This window comes from Homo sapiens, chromosome 3 (assembly GCF_000001405.40).
Source record: "Homo sapiens chromosome 3, GRCh38.p14 Primary Assembly".
NCBI classification, from domain to species: domain Eukaryota; kingdom Metazoa; phylum Chordata; class Mammalia; order Primates; family Hominidae; genus Homo; species Homo sapiens.
The window spans coordinates 46606287-46628281 of NC_000003.12; the positions used below are offsets into that span (position 1 = coordinate 46606287).

At 43.1% G+C, this 21995-nt stretch overlaps 1 protein-coding gene across 1 annotated transcript, besides 1 other annotated feature; it reads left to right on the top strand.

Annotated features, from left to right (window-relative positions):
• Nucleotides 1-6238: 6238 nt before the first annotated feature.
• On the top strand, nucleotides 6239-20257 carry FAM240A (family with sequence similarity 240 member A). Its single transcript, NM_001195442.2, has 3 exons — nucleotides 6239-6412; nucleotides 10897-11042; nucleotides 18842-20257. Exons 1-3 carry the CDS (start codon nucleotides 6398-6400, stop codon nucleotides 18930-18932), a joined length of 252 nt encoding a protein of 83 aa, NP_001182371.2. The 5' UTR covers nucleotides 6239-6397; the 3' UTR covers nucleotides 18933-20257.
• Nucleotides 11709-12209: an enhancer, noted in NCBI's record as "H3K4me1 hESC enhancer chr3:46659485-46659985 (GRCh37/hg19 assembly coordinates)". NCBI's record gives its function as "activates a minimal SCP1, AML or CMV promoter by ChIP-STARR-seq in naive H9 embryonic stem cells {active_cell/tissue: H9 hESC(naive)}" and the evidence as "EXISTENCE:reporter gene assay evidence [ECO:0000049][PMID:30033119]".
• Nucleotides 20258-21995: the final 1738 nt, after the last annotated feature.

Sequence of the window (21995 nt, forward strand, 5' to 3'; positions counted from 1 at the left end):
CCAACATAGCAAGACCCCATCTCTACAAAGAATACAAAAATTAGCTGGGCATAATGGCACATGCCTGTTGTCCCAGCTAGTCAAGAAGCTGAGACAGGAGGATTGTTTGAACCCAGGAGTTCAAGGCTGCAGTCAGCCATGTTCATGCCACTGCACTCCAGCCCGGGCAATAGAATGAGAATTTTTTTTAAATCTTTATAAAATAAAATGTCTTCATAAAAAACAATAAATTTTTAAAAGTTAAATTAATGAAATACAATAAAATATATATATTTGCTATTTATTAAGTGGAAATGGATCATCATGAATGTCTTCATCCTCACTGCCTTCATAATGAGTAGGCTAAGGAGGAGGAGAAAGAGGAAGAAATGGTTGGTTTTGCTGTCTAAGGGGTGGCAGAGACGGAAGAAAATCTATGTGTAAGTGAACCTGCACAGTTCAAACCCAAGTTGTTCAAGGGCACACTGTAAAAAAACATCTCAAGTGACTTAAACTATAAAGTAAGTTAATTTTCATACTTACCATGAACGTCCAAGTTTGGGAGCCTCGGGGGCTGGTGAATTCAGTGGCTCAGCAATGTCATCACTAACATGGGTTTTTCTGTCTCTCTGCTCTGCCAGTTTTAGCGATGGTTTAGCTCCCACTGTGGTCCCAGCGTGACTGCACTATTTCCACACAACAAAATCCAAAGGAGAAGGAAGACTACTCCCAACATGTGTTTTTTAAGAAAGGGAAATCTTAGCCAGCGCCTTAGTTTGAGTTGTGTCACCAGCCCATGGACTGTCATGACTGGCTCAGTGAAGCATCTGGCTGTGTGGAGAAGGGTGGGTTACCCAAGCAAAACTGAGGTTGAGTCACAGGAAAGAAGTGGACAGTGGCTCTTGGGTAGTAACCAGTATCCTCCTCCCACCATGAAAAGCACCCTTCTCCTTTGACACTCCCTTATCAACAGGCAAAATAGTAGTCAATTTTAAAACTAAGCAACAATACAAATCTATTTTATTTATTTATTTATTTATTTATTTATTTATTTATTTATTTATTGAGACAGAGTCTCACTCTGTCGCCCAGGCTGGAGTGCAGTGGCGCAATCTCAGCTCACTGCAACCTCCGCCTCCCAGGTTCAAGCGATTCTCCTGCCTCAGCCTCCTGAGTAGCCGAGATTATAGGGACCCACCACCACGCCCAGCTAATTTTTGTATTTTAGTAGAGATGGAGTTTTGCCATGGCAACAACACAAATCTTACAAAGGTTCAGCCAGAGCATACTTAGTTTTTGACAATTATATTTGATATATGTGTGTATCGGTCAGAAAGGCTGGTTTATGATGCCATAATAGGCAACACCAAGTTTTCTGAAACATACAACTGTGGCAGTTTATTTTTTGTTCCCGAAACTTGCAGTCAACGTTTCAGGGCCATCCAAGGTCTTACTCAGTCCCAGGCTTATGCAATCTTCCAGCAACCTGAGGCTTTGGGGTTCACAGCAGTAGGAGGAGCAAGCATGGAAAATCTCACACCAGGGGACAAGTTGCCTCCTTTCCAGGCCTTTGCTAGAACCAGTCCCATGGCTCTGTACGTAATTCGGGTAAAGCAATCCTCTTTGTGTCCAGAAGAGGGAGGGGAGCCAGAAATGTCCGTGAGTACTAGCAAAGGCAACCACATCCCCTGTCCAGGAAGCGTGCCAGGAAGGGGCTCCTGTTCCACATGGGTCTGGGCATCAGGGAAGGAACCTTGACACTGCCAGGACTAGCTGGGGAAGAAAAGGGCCTGTCCACTTTGTTTATCACAGCTCCCTCCTCTAGTGGGATGCCTCTCATTAGGTAGGAGCTTGGTTTCCAGTGGGGTAAATAGCTTGAGCTAACCAGAACTATTTGAAATCAAGCCATGAAGTGGCAAATACAAAACTTTGCAAAAATTAAAAAACACACACACACACGCAAAGCTAGATGGGAGCTTGCTAAATTGGGAAATGGTCATGCCCTATTATCACCCAGGCCCCTCCCAAGCTGTGAGATCTTTAAGTACAATTTTAAATGCTTCCTAGCCTATAATGTGAACAACGCTAGTGTCAGAGCAGGAAGGACCTGGCGCTAAACATCTCTCCCTCCATCCCTATATGACTGTAAACCCTGAAATGTGAGAGAGCACCTCAGGAACAGGTCCAAGGGAACGACTTTGGCTATGGAGACACAGAATCAGCCACAGCCCACTCCCACCGCCACAGAGAAATTTTCTTCTGTCTCTGGAGTCTTCTTAAACTTCTCAGAGAAAGTCTGTGGGTAACATGGATTAAAGACATACTCTAACTCTAAATAAGATACTTGGCTTCAGTCTGAATGAGAAGACCCTTGTAGGAGTCTCTGTCCATTAAATAAATTATAAACAGAATGAAAATTTGGAAATTCAGAAAGTTGTTGATTCAAAATTCAGCTGAACTGGGAAAATTGTAAATGTTTGTGCTTTGAAGTAAACAAATTATGAAGGCTATGAAATTCCTGCTAGTGGATTAGGGGTTTTTTTTGTTTCTTTGTTTTTTGTTTTTTTGTTTTTTTGATCATTTGTGAGCCCAAGAGGAGTAGCAACACTTAAGCTTAATTTTATAAGCTTTTTTCCTGGAGGACTTGCTAATGGCTTCAATAAAGTTTAAGGAATCTAATGTAATGAAAAAGACTTTCTCAGCATTTAGCATGTCATTGAATAAACAAAAACAAAACAACCCAATCCTTCAAGGTGATCTTCTACCTATTAAATATTCAGTTTCACTGTTAATTTTTTAAGGAGGAAATGGGAATTTAAACTTACAATAGAAATATTTAAACATGTTTATCCTCTTCTGTCTGCTTGTGTATAACATTTATCAGCAGAAAAAATCAAAAAGCAAAGTGGGTATTTGTGTTGCCTTTAATTATATTCCAGTGATATCAGTGTTGCCCTTAGTATCAACACTGTGACTCCTGTGACCTAAGTCAGAAGCAGGCTTATTAGTGGCAAAGCAGGGTGTGATCATGACCTGAACTGGGTCTGTTTCCAGACAAGGCACCACCCCAGAAGTTTCATGCAAGAACATACCATGCTCCCTGAAATGCCTAAAGGGCATTTTCAACTGAGAAGTGAAAGTTTGGTTCACTTTTTGGTTTGATGCATTTTACTGGAAAATGGTCACTGTTCCTGCCCCCACTGGGGGAGGACTGAGCATATTGTGAAATGTCCTCACCCAGCTCTATCCTTGGATTAGCGGCTCCAAAGAAAAACATGCCTCTCTAAGTCATCCTGTAAGGTGACCCCGAAGTGTGACTTGTCACACCATCCCGCCTTCTTTACCGCCTGAGCCGTGGAGGGCAGCCTGGCCTGATGCACCAAGGATTCATGCTCACAGATGATCCAGGGCATGTTCTAAACATTAACTTTACTTCCAGCCAAGTCATGGCCTCTGTGGAACGTGCCAGAGCAGAAGCTTACCTGCCCCCGGGGTGGGCAGAGGGAGCAGGGGATGGGGACTGTTTAACACTTTGTCCCTGGAATAAGATCTCTGTGAATCTAGTGCTAATTTCGTGTGTGTAACCTTGTCAGGCGAAGGCATTTCTGTAACTCCTCCGCTCTGCATATAAAAGATTAAGACCCTGAGGTTTCAGGACCAGGTCGTGGCCTCTGAGAGCCCCAGAGCTGAGGAAACAGGAGTTACAATACTTGCCTTCCGTTACAACACATCAAGGCAGCAGCAGATTCATCTCAAAGGTAAAGGATGTTGAACTTGATGTGGATGGGAACCTGGCGGAGGTTCATCTCACTCTTCGGCAGGGAGGGAGGTGGATGGGCCCCTTGTAAGCCTGTAAACCTGTCTTTCTCAGCGGCTGGGATTCAGCTTTCCCCCGGAACCCCCTTGCTTGCATCTGCTTGGGAATGACTCACAAATCCTAATGGGGCTTTTCCATATCTAATTTATATAATTAGATGATGCAATCAAAACAAGTTAAACTGTGAGAAAGCCAGAAATCAGTGCCAGTGTCCGCTTAACCAGGCTCTGAGAAAAATAGTACATATGGATAGTGAGATGCCAATACCCCAAAGAAATGAACACCCTCAAGGAATGTTCAAGTAGAGATGCTCGACCACAGTGGGCTTCTCGGGAGACTAGCACTGAGGAGGCTGTACCTTAGCTTCGGCCTTTGTAATTCTAAAGCAGAGCTGCTTAAACTGCACAGGAGTCATGCACAGGAGTCATCTGGGGATGAGATGAAAATGCAGGGTTTGATTCCTATCTGGGCCTTGATAAATTCTGCACTTGTACCAACTCCGTGGTGATGCCAGTGCTGCTGGTTCACGGGACAATCGGGTGGCAGGGCTCACTGGGGTCTTAGTGACAGTATATAATCTTTGAGACTTTTCCATGCCTGAATCTTATCAAATCAGCAGAGTCAAAATGCATTTTACCAAAAGCATTTTCTGTTCTGTTTTTAAAGTTTTTATTTTTAAATTAACACACAGTAAAAAATGATTCTTTTGTGTGTACTCAGTTCTATGAATTTTAACATACATACAGCTTCACGTAACCACCGCCATGAAGAATGCAGAACAATTCCATCAGGTTCTCCACAGTTCCTTCATGCTTTGCCTCTGCAGTCATACCCTCCCCAACCTCTAATCCCAGGCAGTCATGATAGTTTTGTCTTTTCAAGAATACCATATAAATGAGGTCACAGAAAACATATACCAACCAGCCCGGGCAACATGGCAAGACCCCGTCTCTACAAAAAATACCAAAATTACCCAGGTGTGGTAGTGCACACCTGTAGTCCCAGCCACTCTGGAGGCTGAGATGGGAGGATCACCTGGAGCTGGAGGAGGTCAAAGCTGCAGTTAGCCGTGATCGTGCCCCTGCACTCCAGACTGTGCAGCAGAGTGAGACTCTGTCTCAGTTTAAAAAAAAAAAAGGAAAGAAAAGAAAAGTAAGAAAGAAAATATATACCATTTTGAGATTGCCTTGTTCTACCGAGCATAATGCCTTTGAGATCCATCCAAGTTATTGCATGTGTTGAAGTTTGTTCCCTCTTATTGCTGCACAATATTCCATTGTATGAATGTCTGACAGATTTTTATCCATTCATCCATTGAAGAACTATCAGGTTGTTTCTTTTTGGCAATCACGAATAGAGCTGTGTACAGGTGTGCAAGTTTTTGCTTGAATACAAGTTTACATTTCTCTAGTCTAAATACCTAGAAGTAGAATTGCTGTGTCATATGGTGAGTATAGTTTAACTTTATAAGAAACTACAGCCGGTTGGGCGTAGTGGCTCACGCTTGTAATCCCAGCACTTTGGGAGGCCTAGGTGGGTGGATCACCCGAAGGTCAGGAGTTCGAGATCAACCTGGCCAATATGGTGAAACCCCGTCTCTACTAAAAATATAAAAAATTAGCCAGGTGTGGTGGTGGGTGCCTGTAATCCCAGCTACTTGGGAGGCTGAGGCAGGAGAATCGCTTGAACCTGGGAGGTGGATGTTGCAGTGAGCCGAGATTGCACCATTGCACTCCAGCCTGGGCAACAAGAGGGAAACTTCCTCTCAAAATAAATAAATTAATTAATTAAATAAAAAAGAAAAGAAACTGCTGCCAAACTGTTTTTCACAATAATACCTGTACCATTCTGCAGTCCTGCCAGCAATGTGTGAGAGTTCCAATTCCCTTTCTCCCTGGAACCAGAGGGCTTCTCAGAGCTCTTTCTACCCTTGTCCCCACTTCTGGGTTGCCTTGAGTCTAAACTGGGGATACCACAGTAAAAATAGAAAATTTAGCACTGTTCAATGGTAATTGGAATTCTGGGGTTTTTCCTCTAATCTACCTGCTGCTGTTTACTTTTCAGAGTCCTGAAACAGCTGCGCCACACATTCTGTCCAGGCTGCATTCTTTGGAGGGACAGGTTAGGGTATGCTTCCTCCATCTTACTTGGAACTGGAACCCTTCTGTTCTATTTCAAGCCCCAATCATAAAGAAAAATGTAAAAGGCGGTTAAACATACTTTTGGATATGTGAAACATAATCATGAAATACTTGCTCTCAGGAGGTGTTGAATAGGCAAGAAGTACATGAGCAGTGTGCACAGTCAGCTGGTGTGCATTGAACCTCCCTAGCCAAGAGCCACAAGCACGCTCAGTGTAAGCCAAAAGCCTCTTTTAAAAAAGCAACTCTCAGATTTCTCAATTTGAGTTTAATACTCTGGGTAACTGAGACTTGGGAAATCAAATTGCTGGCACAGCGTTAAGGCTTGCGAGGGACAAATGTTCCTTTGTTCTTGTTGATTTGCTGAACGTGAATTGGCTCCTGGGGCAGCACAGATGCCTCACAGGCGGTCAAGTGCGACACATTTGGTTCGACTGAATCGATGTCTTCACATCCCTTCATGCGGTTGTTCTCTGTAAGTGTTAATTAATTTGTTGATTTTGTGAAGTAAAATTCCTAATGGTTATGGAGGTTATGGTTTGTCCAAGTTGGTGCTGATTCACTGGACGCAGCAGCACGAATTCTCTCAAGTACAAGATTAGATGGCGTTTTGGGCAGAGGGGATACAGAGGAATAGAGCTATTTACTTATCAAGAGCTTTCCAACTATGGACAGTCTCCTCATCACACTTCTACTAGGAGGAGCAGTTGTCCTCATTGTAGACACCAGGAAACCGAAACACAAATACTCACGGAAACACGTTACCTGTGAAGGAATGGGCTAAACCCTAATGACAAGATGCTAACAGTCTCCCAGTAGGTTAGAGCCAGGGAACTTGAACTTCTAGTCCAAAGACAGAAGAAGCTTTTTACCTATGTTTACTGAGGAATAACTTATGTGTAGTGAAATTCACTCATATAAAATGTAGAGTTTGGTAAGTTTTAGCAATTGTACACTGCTATATAATCAACACTATAAACAAGACACAGGCTGGGCACAGTGGCTCACACCTGTAATCCCAGCACTTTTGAAGACCAAGGCCGGTGGATCACCTGAGGTCAGGAGTTTGAGACCAGCCTGGCCAACATGGCGAAACCCTGTCTCTACTAAAAATACAAAAATTAGCCCGGCGTGGTAGCAGGCACCTGTAATCCCAGATACTGGGGAGGCTGAAGCAGGAGAATCACTTGAACCCAGGAGGTGGAGGTTGCAGTGAGCTGAGATCGTGCCACTGCAATCCAGCCTGGGTGACAGAGTGAAACTCCTTCTAAATAAATAAATAAATAAATAAATAAATAAATAAAAAACAAGACACAGAACATTTCCATTACCCTAAAAAGTGCCCCCATGCTCCTTTGCCCTCAGTCCCCTCCCCCAACTCGACCTCAGCCAATCCCCAATCTGTTTCTGCAACTCTTTGTTCTGCAAGATTTCCACTGCAGGTCTCTGCACAGGTCACTTCCTGCACCCTGGGTGCTCCTGCCCGCTCATCCTGCAAGTCCCTCCCCCTAGAAGGAGCCCCAAACCCTCGGCCAGGTCAGGGCACCCTCCTTGTGTGTCCCATTTCAGTGCCTATCACGTGAAGTGCCAGTGCCTCACTCCCTGTTATCTGAAGTCCCCTGAGGAGGGGCCCTGTCTTATCCCAGTGTCAGCCGTTTAGAGTGAAGAAGGATGGGGTATTAGATATTTGTTTGTTTGTTTGTTTGTTTGTTTGAGACAGGGTCTCGCTTTGTCCCCCAGGCTGGAGTGCAGTGGTACAAACATGGCTCACTTTAGCCTTGACCTCTTGGGCTCAAGCAATCTTTCTACCTCAGCCTCCTGAGTAGCTGGGACCACAGGCACGTAGCACTACGCCCAGCTAATTTTTTATTTTTTATTTTTATAGAGACAGGATCTCTGTATGTTGCCCAGCCTGGTCTCAAACTACTGGGATCAAGTGATCCTCCAGCCTCAGCCTCCCAAAGTGCTGGGATTACAGGTGTGAGCCACTGCACCCGGCCTAAATATATTTAATCCCCTCTTTCTGCCTTATCTTTTCCTAAAAGTGTATTTCTAAAGTTATCATTAATTGTGTTTCTTTGAAGCTACAAAATTGGTGATAGTAGCCACTACAGTTCTGCTCATAGTGAGGACAATGACTAAAACAAGTTAAGAAGACAAGGTAGTTTGTTTAAAAGTGAAATGCATTTTTTCTTAGAGATTTTACTTGTTTTCACCATTGTGTCAGCAGCATTTTCCAGCAAAACATACACACACAGCTGGTTAGTTTGTAAAATAACGTTATGCGGATGGAGGTAGAGATGGATGTCACTCTTCAACCCAAAGGGAGCTCTGCTATTTCTTAGAAAAACATGTATCTCCCATTTTACACATGTGGGACACCTCCCAGTGAGTGGGCATGGTGAGGCTTATCTCTGACGTATCAGAAGTGAAAGAACACAGGACAAACGCTCTTACCCAGTGCTCCTCTGGGCATGGCCCTACATAGGACATGGTTCAACTTAAGAACTTCTACTGTCATCCAAGCTTTCCTAAATGGTGGCCAACAGACCAAGGATAGAGATAAATGAATCTGTCATATACCCAAGAAGCCATACACTCAATATTGTGTGTAAATAAAGATTCACACTTATTCAAAGTTGTCAATGACATTTAATTAGCTCAGACTAATGATGTCCCTATGCCAGACTAATGAATCCCTATGCCAGACAACAGTCAGAAAAATGAGTGGGCCAGGACCAAGCTCATCAGTTATATTTATTCAGAACTTTATAAATTGCAGAACACTTTCACTCTTAGGGTCAAAATCGGTCTTCAGAGAAATTTTAAAGATGAGAAAACTGACGCCAGGAGAACCCATGTGACAAACAGACGGCGCATCAAGGCAGTGGAAACACGGGTCTGGAGTGAACATCTGGCTTCAAACCCCTTTCTCCTTCTACCCTGCCCCACTGTCCCGGTCTGTCTTTCTGAGAGCTGTGGCCCAGACCTCTATGCTGAGTTCCAGACCCATGTGTCAGGCACCCCTCCAGTGCTTCCCCCTGGGGGTCGGCACCCAGAAAACTCAAACTCCATCCATCCAGCACAGCCTGAGCCCACTCCCCATAGCCCTCCTCCTCCATTTCCCATCTGTGCACAGGCAGAGCCAGGGCAGTACCCACTGACACCCCTTCTCCTTCATTTTCCACACAGAGTTTCCTGTGAATCTGTCCACTCTTCATCATCTTTGCCCCTCCCGTCCTGGTCACAGCATCGCTCTGGGCTCCTCCAGCAGCCCAGTTCCTCCTCCCCCTGCATCCGCTCTCACCTCTTCAGTCTCTGCCCCCAGAACATCTGGCAAAATGCCTGTCTGGACCCACCATTTCCCCACTGAAAGCCCTTCCTGGGATAAGGTCCAAATCCTCTCTGGGGCATGCCAGGCCAGCTTCTCCAGGCTCCCATCTCCCCACACTCTTCTGCAGGGGTTCCCACCAGCAGACAGGAACATCTGCAGCCCCTGCTTTTGAGCTTTCTACTATATCCACTCAGCTGGTCTGAAAGTTAAGCAGAGTTTCTGCATGTAATAAGTGAGCATTTTGAGTGTCTGATATGTATAATTCCACACACAAGAGCCCACATGTGTGCACGCACACACACACACACACACCTCAAAGCAGCTTGCTCTGGGGTGTCAGGCACTGGAACCATTTTCTCTGATAAACCCCTTTAGTAAAGGGCCTGGAAACTTTCAGAAGTCTGAAGCCTGTCACTCCTCAAATATCTCACCTAAAAGATGAAGAAGGTCATGGCCATCTCATGTGGATGTTGTGATAACGAAATGGACTTAGGTGCACAAAATTCCTGGTGCATGTTCCTGCTACTGGAAGTTGAGAAACGATTCTTCTGTGAGGAGGAAGGAAGGGCAGAGGCGTTTGCCAGGTGCCAGCTTGTGGAAGGTCTGCACTCACATCTCACTGTGTCCTGACAACCAGCCAGCAGCAAGCACTGAGGCCACCATTGTCCTCCCACTTGCAGAGGTCCTGTGGCTGGCCAGGTCTGTCTCATGTCAACAGCAGGGTCAGGATGCCTATACCCTGCAGAGTCTCAGGGATCATGGTTTATGGGGGTTCAGCTTCTATTTTTTTTTATTTCAATAGCTTTAGGAGTACAAGTGGGTTTTGGTTACATGGATAAGTTGTATAGTGTTTAAGTCTTGGCTTTTAGTGCACTTGTCACCCAAATAGTGTACATGGCACCCAATAAGTGACATTTTATCCCTAACCTCTTTCCTTCTGAGTCTCCAATGCCCATTATACCACTCTGTTTGCCTTTATAAACCCGTGGCTTAGCTACCACTTATAAGTGAGAATATGCAGTATTTGGTTTTCCATTCCAGAGTTACTTCATTAGGATAATGGCTTCCAGTTCCATCCGAGTTGCTGCAAAAGACATTATTTTGTTCTTTTTTAGGCTGAGTAGTATTCCATTACACACACACACACACACACACACACACACACACACACATAAAACATTTTCTTGATCCAGTCATAAGTTAATGAGCACTTAGTTTGACTCCATATCTTTGCAATTGTGAATTGTGCTGTGATAAACAAACACATTCAGGTGTCTTTTTTATATAATTACTTCTTTTCCTTTGGGTAGGTACCCAGTAGTCAGAATTGCTGGATCAAATGGTAGATCTACTCTCAGTTCTTTGAGAAATCTCCATACTGTTTTCCAAAGAGGTTGTACTAATTTACATTCCTACCAACAGCATATAAGTGTTCTCTTTTCTCTGCATCTGCACCAACACCTATTAGTTTTTGACTTTTAAACAGTCAAATTGGAGTAAGGTGGATTGGAGTAAGATGGTAGGTATCTCATTGTGGTTTTAATTTACATTTCCCTGATGATGAGTGATGTTGAGCATTTCTTCATATGTTTTTTGGTTATTTGTATGGCTATTTTCCTTTTTAGGGGATGAACAATCAATACACCCGTCGGGAGGTCTTCTGCCGGAACACCTGCCATGATCTCAAGCATTTCTGGGAAAGGGAAATTGGCAAACAGACTTACTACCGAGAATCAGAGGAACGTCGTCTGGGAAGAAGCGCACTGAGAAAGTATGTGGCTTGTTTGTCTACTTTTTAGAATTAATTAATTTTTAAAATACATCGTATAATTTAGAACAGTTTTAGGTTCACAGCAAAATTGAGCAGAAGGTACTAAGAGTTCCCTGAGCCCCCACGCAATTGCCCCACTGTCAACATCTGCACCAGTGGTACCTTTGTGACTGTCGATGAGCTTTCACTGACTTTCAAGTCATGATTATCTTGTCTGTTTTGTAAGAGCAAAATTAATTTCCCCAGAAGAATGCCAGATGGGCATCTTAGAGGAGGTAATTATTTTAATTTTCCATGCTTACATTCCTTTAATTCTTATCTTTATGAACTGGAAAACTCTCTCCTCTCTGTCACCATGTCACCTTCTAGCACATGAGGTTACACTAAATGGGGCAGGGGTGGGGGTACAAACACTATGTCTGTGAAAAGCAATCAAGCAAAGGAAGCAGTGCCCAGTTCTCAGCACCCATTTAGGTGAAAACACAAGATGGCCTGCGTGGTTCCTGGAGGGGAAGGCGGGGTCTCCCCTTGTGTGCATCCCTGTTCTGGCCCAGTGAGTCTGCCGAGCAGTGGAGTACAGTGACTCCCGTGGGCAAACGAGGGTCACCTTGCTGTGGAAGCAGTGCAGGCTCACTGCCCTCACACACACACTGCAGAAAGCCATCATGGGCTGCAGGGAGGGACCGCCCTTTTGAGCTCTGTCCCCTCAAAAGGAACAGCTCAGCCAGCTGTCTGACGAGGCCATGGCTTATGTGTGGTAAGGGAGTATGAGACCTTGTGTGCTGTCCAGACAGCAGGGCCCATGACTCCATGGCCACTGGACTGATGGCATGCCTTAATTCACAGGTGGTAAACTTACTGCTGCCTTCCCAAAGCCTCTCCTGAGCCCTAGAGGGGAACCCAGCCTCCCACTTATAGAGACCTGCTCAGCCTTATTCCCGACTACCATCCCACCTGCTGAAGTACAGAAGTAGGGCATAGAAAGCTGACTTGGGTGGCCAGTCATTTCTGCAGTTCCTGCCATCTTCGTCCCCCAGGCTATGCCACTCAGAGTCCTGTACCATGTGTGGGTTCCCTGGGGAGCAGGCAAAAGGCTTCAGGTGAAGTGAAATTGGCCCAAGGAAGATGCAGAAACCAAAGGCTCCAAGAGAGGCACAAGCCAAGGGGTGAACAAAACAGCCTCTGAAGCAAATTGTGCAGGCTGTTAAAACATTAAAAATATATACATGCGGCCGGGTGCGGTGACTCACGCCTGTAATCCCAGCACTTTGGGAGGCTGAGGTGGGCGGATCACCTGAGGTCGAGAGTTTGAGACCAGCCCGACCAACAAGGAGAAACCCCATCTCTACTAAAAATACAAAATTAGCTAGGCGTGGTGGTGCATGCCTGTAATCCCAGCTACTCGGGAGGCTGAGGCAGGAGAATCACTTGAACCCGGGAGGCAGAGGTTGTGGTGAGCCGAGATCTTGCCATTGCACTCCAGCCTGGGTGACAAGAGCAAAACTCTGTCTCAAAAAGAAAAAAAGATATATATATATGTATATATATATATATACACACACACACACACACACACACACACACACACACATATGCAGTATCTATCTATGCATATAATAAAAGAATGCAAGAAGATAAACTTTCTGGTTGATAGGGTGGCAGAAGACTTTAGCTTATTTGTTCTCCTCACCCTCTTCCGATTTGACTCTGGGTAGCCAGGCTCCAGAGGCTCTGCTCTAATTAATACTCTGTGTTGTCCCTTCACAAAATGGAATGTTAGTTCCCCTCCCTCTTCTGCACTCCCATTTAACAATCCAGGATCTAATAGGGCAGCAGCAATACGCCAAAGGAAGACATTCCTTAGAGGAGAAAAACAAGATGAAAACAAAATTGCAAGAGTGGGCAAGGGTGGGAACAAGCTCAGAATAGTGGTGAACAGCAGAGACTTTGCAGCTGGTTGCCTGGGCTCACCCTTTTGGGTCCCTGGGGTGAGCAACCAAATCTCCCTGGGTCTCAGTGTCCTCATCATTATTTTCATCATAGAGAAACAGACACTAAGAGAAGTAAGAGGGATGCTGGAGAGTTACTGCCCTTTGAGTGTGGGCAGAGGGAGTGCAGACTTGATCTTCTTTCATTAGCAGATGGAGCACCTGGGCTACTGATGCACACAGGGGTGTGTACAAACCTCCCCCATTTTGGAACTGGTCAGGGAGGTGACACAGATGCTGCCGTCTCCCGCCTGTCCACTACAGGATCTGAGCGTTTCTTTCTGCAGTCTTCTGGGGGTCCCAGCTTCAGAGCTGGTTCACTTGGCCCTTGGGCACCAGCAGCTTGTTGAGCTGCTGTGCAGATGTCTTGGCATGCTGGTTGGCAGCCCGCACTCTGAGGTCCAGCCCTCCAGGTAACTAGCATGGCACCCTCCAATCTCATCTCTCAGGGAAGAGAGAGTTGGGCAAATGTAGGAGAATGGACAAGAGCATTCTAGGCAGAAGAAATGCCATGTGCAAACACCCCGAGGCAAGGGAACAGCTTGCCCTATTTGTGGAATGGAGAAACCACCATTTTTATATATTGCTCGTGTATTCTCCAAAGTCCCTACTGCAGTGCTGAACATATAATAAGAAGTGCTCAAGAAAAGCATGCTTGACTGGATCCAAGAAAACCACGGAACTGGCTCTTGGATGGGTCTTTGCTGCCTACTTACTTTGGCCCAGCACTCACTCCCATTCCTGGCTTCCTTGCCAGGCTGATCTCCTTTGATCCCCACCCCCATCAATTCTCCTCCCTCAGCTGACCCCTCTTCCCATGCTAGTCCTTGAATCGCCAGTCCTTCAGCTTCTGGCTAGGTTCTGTCAACAGGAGATGAGAGGACTGGAGGCTAAGTCTGCCTATTTCTTCCCCACACCCTTCCTGCCCTGGGTCCTGTTTTCTAGCAGTGACTTCATCTCTCCTGGACTACAGCTCCTGCTGCAGAGCCCCTCCCCCATGACTCCAGGCTCCAAACACAAGTGAAAAGGGATTGGTAGAAAGAAGCTATTGACATTTGGCAACACCTAATGAAAGTAAATTGGATCTAATGATCATTAATATCTGCTAACATCAAAAAAGGTGATCTATAACCAGACAGATTTGATGGCCGTCCATTATATCACCCGTACTGTAGTTTTGTCAAAAAAAAAAAAAAATCCGGATCTAATCAAACTTCTAGTGCTAGCCACTAATTAACAGCATATACAGGAAACAGAGGAATGGGTTACAGTCACACAGGAATACAGTCAGCAAAATTCAAACTGTGCATACTCTGGCAGAACAAACAATCTGGTTTCAAAAAAAGAAAACAAAAACTGCAAGGGAAGGGGAAAGATGAGGGAGAATTTCCAGATTAAAGAAATCCTAAAAGATATAGCAACAAATAGGAATGTGTGCGCTTTATTCGGGTCCTGATTCAACCAACCTAACGTTCAACATTAAAAGACAATCAGAATTGTGAACCAATGGAATATTTATTTGATGATATCAAGTACCTCTGGTTAATTTTTTAAGTGTGATAATGGCAAGGTAGTTTCTTTTTAAAGGAGTTATTATATTTAAGGACAAAATAGCTAAATGTAGTTATTTTGTTTAACATGCAGGAGAAGGGAGATATGGGAAACAAGATCAGCCTTAAGCTGAGGAAGCTGGGGAGTGGCTATAGGGGAGTTCTTAGATTACTAGTTTCTCTACTTTTTTGTATGCTTGAAATCTTCTACTACAAAGGTTTTCTAAAAAACGTTATCTTGAAAAAAAAGAGTGCAATTTCCCTTTCCCTTCTTCCTCACCACCTCTTCACAATCCAAGTAGTTCCATTAATTTTTTCTGTATGTACTTTGAGGCTACTTTATTAGGTGCATGCATATTTAGAAGTGTAATATCTTCACAGTGAGGTGAACCTTTTTATTATTTGGCAGTGACTTTATCCCTGATGATTTTTTGTTTGAAGATCTTTTTATCAACAGACTTTATAACTGTATTAACAGACTTTATATTGTCTGTTAATATAGCCAAACCAACCTTGTTTTTATTAGCATTTGCCTTATATATCTTTTTTCCGTTTTCTTATTTTCAACTTATCTCTGTCCTTATAATTTAGATGTGTCTTTTTTAAACAGCACATAGTTGTCTGAGCACGGTGGCTCATGCCTGTAATCCCAGCACCCTGGGAAGCCAAGGCAGGTAGAACACTTGAGTTTGAGACCAGGCTGGGCAATATAGCAAAACTCTGTCCCTATAAAAAATACAAAAATTGGCCAGGCATGCTACCACGAGCCTGTAGTCCCAGCTACTGCGGGGGAAAGGGGGAGTGGGGCTGAAATAGGAGGATCACTTGAGCCTCGGGAGGTCGAGGCTGCAGTGAGCCATGATCGTGCCACTGCAATCCAGCCTGGGCAACAGAGACCCCGCCTTCTCAAAAAAAAAAAAACTACATAGTTGGATTGGATGTTTTTCTAATCCGACATATTTTAGTATAAATTGGTGAGTTTAGTCCTTTTTCATTTATTGTAACTGGCTTGTTTCTACCATCTTAGTTACTTAGAGTGCTTTATGATTTCCCTTTTCTGTATTCCTTTCTATTTTTTTCTTACTCTTTGAATTGATATCCATATCTCCTTAATAGATAAGAACTATTTTACTAGTTTCTTCTCTCATCTTATCATTGTCTTCTTTTCATTTTCTTTGGGTTTATTCTTTTGCAGAGATGTTCTCAATTTTGATCAAGTCTAATTTACGAGAAAATTTTCTTTTTTTTTTTTTTTTTTTTTTTTGAGACAGAGTCTCACTCTGTCGCCCAGTGCAGTGGCTCGATCTTGGCCCACTGCAAGCTCCATCTCCCAGGTTCGCGCCATTCTCCTGCCTCAGCCTCCCGAGTAACTGGGACTACAGGCGCCCGCCACCATGCCCAGCTAATTTTTTGTATTTTTTAGTAGAGACGGGGTTTCACCGTGTTAGCCAGGATGGTCTCAATCTTCTGACCTCGTGATCTGCCCGCCTCGGCCTCCCAAAGTGCTGGGATTACAGGTGTGAGCCACCGCGCCCGGCTGAGAAAAATTTCTTTTACAGATTTTGCTTTTGTTGTATCTAAGAAGACTTTGCCTATCCCAAGGTCACAAAGATTGTCTTCTGTTTTATTTCTAGAAGTCTTATGAATTTAAGTTTTACATTTAGATTAATAATACCTTTTGACTTAATTTTTAATATAATGTGAGGTATAGCCTGCAGTTCACTTTTTTTGCATATCCAGTGGTTCCAGCACCATATGCTGAAAAGACTATCCTTTCTCCACTACATTGTCTTTGCACGTTTGTTGAAAATTAATAACTCATCTATGTGTAGGAATGTTTTTGGACCTTTTCTGTCCCATTGATCTATTTGTCCATTGGCCCAATGTCACACTGCTTTGATTACTTAGGTTTATAATAATTCTTGAAGTCAGGTGTTGTAAGTCTTACAACTTCTTCAAAATTGTTTTAGTTATCCTAGGTTATCTGCATTTTCATATGAATTTTGGAATCAACTTGTCAGTTTCTGTTATGTAAAACAGCCTGCTGGTTTGATTGGGATGGAATTGAATCTATAGGTCAATTTAGGGAGAAATGACGTCCTAATAATATTTAGAGTATCTGATATATGAACACAATATATACGTCCCTTTATTTAGGTCTGTTTTAATATCTCTCAGCAATGGTTTGCAGTTTTCAGCACATAAGTCATATATATCTTTTGTCAGATTTACCTCTATTTTGTATTTTTGATATTATTATAATTGCTTTTTTTAAATTTTAATTTATGGTTGTTTCTTTGATTTATGGGTTATTTAGAATTTGTTATTTAGTTTCAAAATGTTTAGGGGACTTTCCAGATATCTTTCTGTTATTAAGTCTAATTTAATTATCGCAGACAGGGAACATATTGAACCCTTTTACATTTATTGAGACTTGTTTTATAGCCCAGAATATTTTCTATCTTCGTAAATATTCCATGTATGTTTGAAAAAGAATGTGTGTTCTGCCGTTGTTAGGGAGAATATTCTATAAATATTGATTATATCAAGTTGGTTGATAGTGTTGTTCAAGTGTTTTATATCCTTATCATTTACTGATTATTGAAAGACAGGTATTGAAATCTCTGCTATAAATACAGATTTGTCTACTTCTCCTTGCAGTTCTATCACATTTTGCTTCATGTATTTTGAAGTTCTGTTATTAGGTACAAAAATGTTTCAGATTGTTATATCATCTTGATGAATTGACCCTCTTATTGCAAAATGACCCTCTTTCTCTTTGGTAATATTTTTTGCTATGAAATCTACTTTGATATTAATATAACCACACCAGCCTTCTTTGATTAGGTTTAGCATGGACTATCTCTTCGTCCTTTTACTTTTAACCTATTTTGTCTTCATATTTAAAGTGGATTTCTTATAAGCAGTATATATTTGGATATTGTCTTTTAAAAATCCAATTTGACAGTCTTTGCATTTTTATTGCGTTGTTTACACCATTAACATTAATTGGTATGATTTGTTTTAAATCTACCATCGTGCTATGTGTCCTCTATTTCTCTCATCTGTTGTTTATTCCCTTTTTCTCTTTTTATGCCTTGTTTTGGATCAAGTGAGTATTTTTTATGATTCCATGTTATCTCTTCTGTTGGCTATTTAACTATTGTTCTTTGTGTTTAGTGGTTGCTTTAGGATATATAATACACATCCTTAACTTATCACAGCCTGCCTTCAGGTGATATTTTATCACTTTTTGTGTAGCATAAGAACCTTAAAATGGTATATTCTCATTTCTCCCCTCTTGGCCTTTATGCTATTGTACAAAGTACAACTTTACTTCTACATATGCTATAACCCCACAGTACATCATTAATAGTTTTACTTTCAACGGTGGGCTATTTTTTTTTTTTTTTTTTTTTTTTTGAGACAGAGTCTTACTCCGTCACCCAAGCTGAAGTGCAGTGGCACAATTTCGGCTCACTGCAACCTCCTCCTCCCAGGTTCAAGCAATTCTCCTGCCTCAGCCTTCCGAGTAGCTGGAACTGCAGGCACCCGCCACCATGATCAGCTAATTTTTGTGCTTTTAGTAGAGACAGGGTTTCACCATATTGGCCAGGCTGGTCTCGAACTCCTGACCTTGTGATCTGTCCACCTTGGCCTCCCAAAGTGCTGGGATTACAGGAGTGAGCCACTGTGCCTGACCACAGTGGGCTATTTTTAAAGCTATTTAAGTAGTTTTAAAAAGTATTAATATATAACCACATCGTTGCTTTTCAGATGCTTTTCATTCCATGTGTACATCCAGATTTCCATCTTGTGTCACTTTCCTTCTGTTTGAAGGAATTCCTTTAACATGTCATGTAGTGACAGTCTGCTGGTGATTTCTTTCAGTTTGCATACGTCTAAAAATATCTTTATTTCACCTCTGCTGTTGAAAGATAGGTTTGCTGTGTAAAGAAGTCTAGACTGACAGGTTTACTCTCCCTGACTGCAAATATATTTTCAAAGGAAAATCCAGAGAATTAAGATTAAGTACTTCTAACAAAAATGAGAGCCTGTTTACTCTTACTTATATAAATAAATAAATATGAATAAATTATATATATATATATATATTTAAACTTGCATGTCCTCTGCATGCCTTTTAAAACCTGAACACATACATGCAATTTCAGGGGCTGGGAGGACAGGAAGAAAGCTCTCCTGAACCAAGAGCCATGGAAATGAATGCTCCATCTGTGTGTTTGGTTTCTATTTTCAGGCTCAGAGAAGAATGGAAGCAGAGGCTGGAAACAAAGCTGAGGCTGCGGAACAATCCAGAGGACACTGAAAAGAGGACAAATGTTGGCTGAGAGCTTCCTGCTTCATTGACACAAGAAGATGCAAAACACTGAGGTCACTTTGCTAGAAGTCAGTGCAAATTCCTGAGTCCCTTTGCTATACCAATCAGCTCTCACACTATTGTTTCCCCACCTGGGAGAGGACTTACCTGTAAATCCTTTCCCAGTGTTTGATGGCAGTTATTGGCCAAGTCAGTCCTCTGTGCATGGGCGCCAGGTTATTATCCCAAATGTCTCTAAAGATAGCTTATTTAATATCGAAGCTCCATGCAGCATTCCTTGCTTCTATATAATTATCTTCTAATTTTGAAATCCAAATATTTTAAACTCTAAACACACCAAGAGGAATCCTCAACCTTCATGGTCAAACTTTAAACACTGTACAGTGGTATTGCCCCACCATTTCACCTAGGAAACACAGCTTTATGGAATTCTTGTTTTCTTTTTATGAGAAGAGAAATGCACCTATCTGCAGAAATTAAAAAACAATTATCAATAGTCAAAGTACAATTTGAAAATAAATTGATCTAATATTCTTTTTTCTTCATATAAATTTAATTAGCTTTTTCAAAAGTATGTTTACCAAGAATAATATCAGAATAATTTTAATAAAACTTGGTTGTCCTGTCATCACTATGCACATGCCTTCATTTTATTGCTTTATTTTAATCTCTGCATGTTTACACTGGTTGGCTCTCTGTCAGCCCAGCCAAAGCATATCTGGCCATTCCACAGAGTGTTTACCACACAGATTCTGGATTTTGAAATGGTATAGTCACTCCCTTGCCATCTCTCAAGTTCAGAAGCACCAGGGTTTGATGCTTCCAAGAGTGCAAACTGTAACTGGGCCTGAGGCAATTATTTTAACCAAGGGAAGGGAGAAGAGATGCAATGATATAAAGTCCTGGGTACTTGCTGGCTGTAAGCAGCACCTGCAAGGCCTTATATACTATACACAGAGGCACTGTATGGCAGACGCACCTGACAGCAATAACAAGATAATAAGTTAAGCAAATACACTGAGAATGACATTATGGTCTAAGAAGAATGTGTGTTCGGAGTCCCAAGCTAAGGAATCCGGGAGTGGCCAACCGGGAGTTTCATACCTTAATTGTGAAGGACACCTGAACCCCCAGCCATCCTTTGGAACATAGGTTGTACAGGGGATCAAAGCCTTCTGTTTTGGGTTAGATGGTGGTTGCTAGGTGGAGGGTGCTAAGTGAAAATGCTATATAAACTGCATGCTTTTTACAAACAGTAGTGGTTCTCTTGTCCAGCCCACTGCTACTGGACCATCCCTATGTAAGTTCCCCCAATAAACCCTATGTCTCATTCACTGTCTCTGAGTGTCTTCTTTGTCTTCTCAGACATGGTGCCATTCCACTGGAGTCAATAGGAGCCTGGCTTGACATAACATTACTAGGAGATGCAGAGAGTCAGGCTGGCCAATTCTGCCAGTGGTGAGTGTGGTGTTGCAGTCTTCTAAGTATCCTAATACAGCATTAAGTATTTCCATCCACATCCCTAGGGAACCCATTAGGCTTTATCAGGCCAATGGGAACCTCCCAGAGGAAAGCAGGACTGGGGGAGTATTTCCCCAGCTTCCACACTTAATATGATCCAAGGAACAGGGCTTAGAGCCCTCTCTCCCTCTATGGTCTCTTATTCAATCTTGGATTCAATTCAACTAATAAATTACAAATTCAAGCTGGGGAAATTTGAGAATGTTTAGATGAAGAAGGAATTTTTGTTGGGTGTAGGAGGAACGTAGGAATTAAATAGAGGTCGAAAAAAAGTCATAGCTTGCGGGGCTGAGAGGCTCTCAGAAGCAAAGGCCTGCCTTCACAAACTGCAAATGCTGTTGCTGGGATTGAAATGCAGTAGAGTGAGGCGGGAAATACAGGTGAAGATTCATTGTGCATTTACTCATTCACCATATGCCAGGCACTGTGCTAGACAACCAGAATCCAGCAGAAAAAAAAACAGAGGTGTCAGCTCTGGAAGCCACAGTCTAGGGAAGAAGCCACTGGGAGTCACAGCAGGCCATGGTGCCCACACCCTGTGGGAACACACTCTGGACTAAGGAAGATCATATACACATGATCCAGGAGCAGTGAGTATTCAGAGCTGGCAGGTCCTGGGTACTTTGAGGAAATACATTCAGCAAAGTTAGAGTGGGACTGTGGAGAAGGCACAGCACACAGGGCCTTGCTGGCTGATGGATTTGAGCTTTGCCTAAGGGCACAGGGAGCCCCTGAAGGGTATTAGCAAGGAGACGGCTGGAGCACTGCCCAGAGACAGGAGGTGAGAGGACAGAGGTGGGAGGCCAGTCACGAGCTCCTGCAGATGGCTCTGGAGAGGCCTTGGTGCCCTGGAGGGTGGGGTCAGGAAGGTAAGGGGTAGACAAGGAGGAGGACCATCTTGGAGGGAAGCGCACAGCTCCCTGAGTGATGGGGTGCAGAAGGAGGTGTGTGTCCAGGCAGTTAGAAGTGGCAGACGTTCTTGGAGGCTGTGAAAAGGTAGGGAATATGAAGGAAAAATATGATGTGGGAATAGAGGTGGTGGGGACACATCAGAAGCATGATGAGTGAGACGGCCCAGGAGACATGCAATTTGCGCCAAGGAGCATGGAGGAAAATTCTATTCCCAGGTTGCTGCCCAGCTACTCTAGAACACTACCTCCTCAGGGCGCTGCTTAGATATAGTATAGAAATGGGTATCTCAGGGCCTGACTGATTTCCTCATGGGGGATAGAGACCTGATAGAAATCTTGGCTGGTTCCAGGCCAATATCCAGGGCAAGCACATGAATCCATCAGAGTCAGCCTCAGGGAGAATGATGAGCCCATGGCCAAGGAGATAGTGAGCAGTTTTGGATTTGGAAAGCCAGTTTTCTTGGGAAAGATTTTATTACAGGTGTGCTGACAGGTGAAACAGTTTATGGGTGTTCTGTCTCTGAGTATTAAAAAGGGCATCCTGTTTTTGAAATACCCAAGCATTGCTGACTTCTCAGAGCTCTATATCTGTCCCAACACCTGAATGTGTATTGAATAGATTTTTATTGATTGGTATGTTT

Bases quoted from the DNA above. Each gene is read 5' to 3' on its own strand.
- FAM240A (NM_001195442.2), top strand. The intron at 11,043-18,841 runs GTATGTGGCTTG...TTCTATTTTCAG, and splicing joins GGAAGAAGCGCACTGAGAAA to GCTCAGAGAAGAATGGAAGC.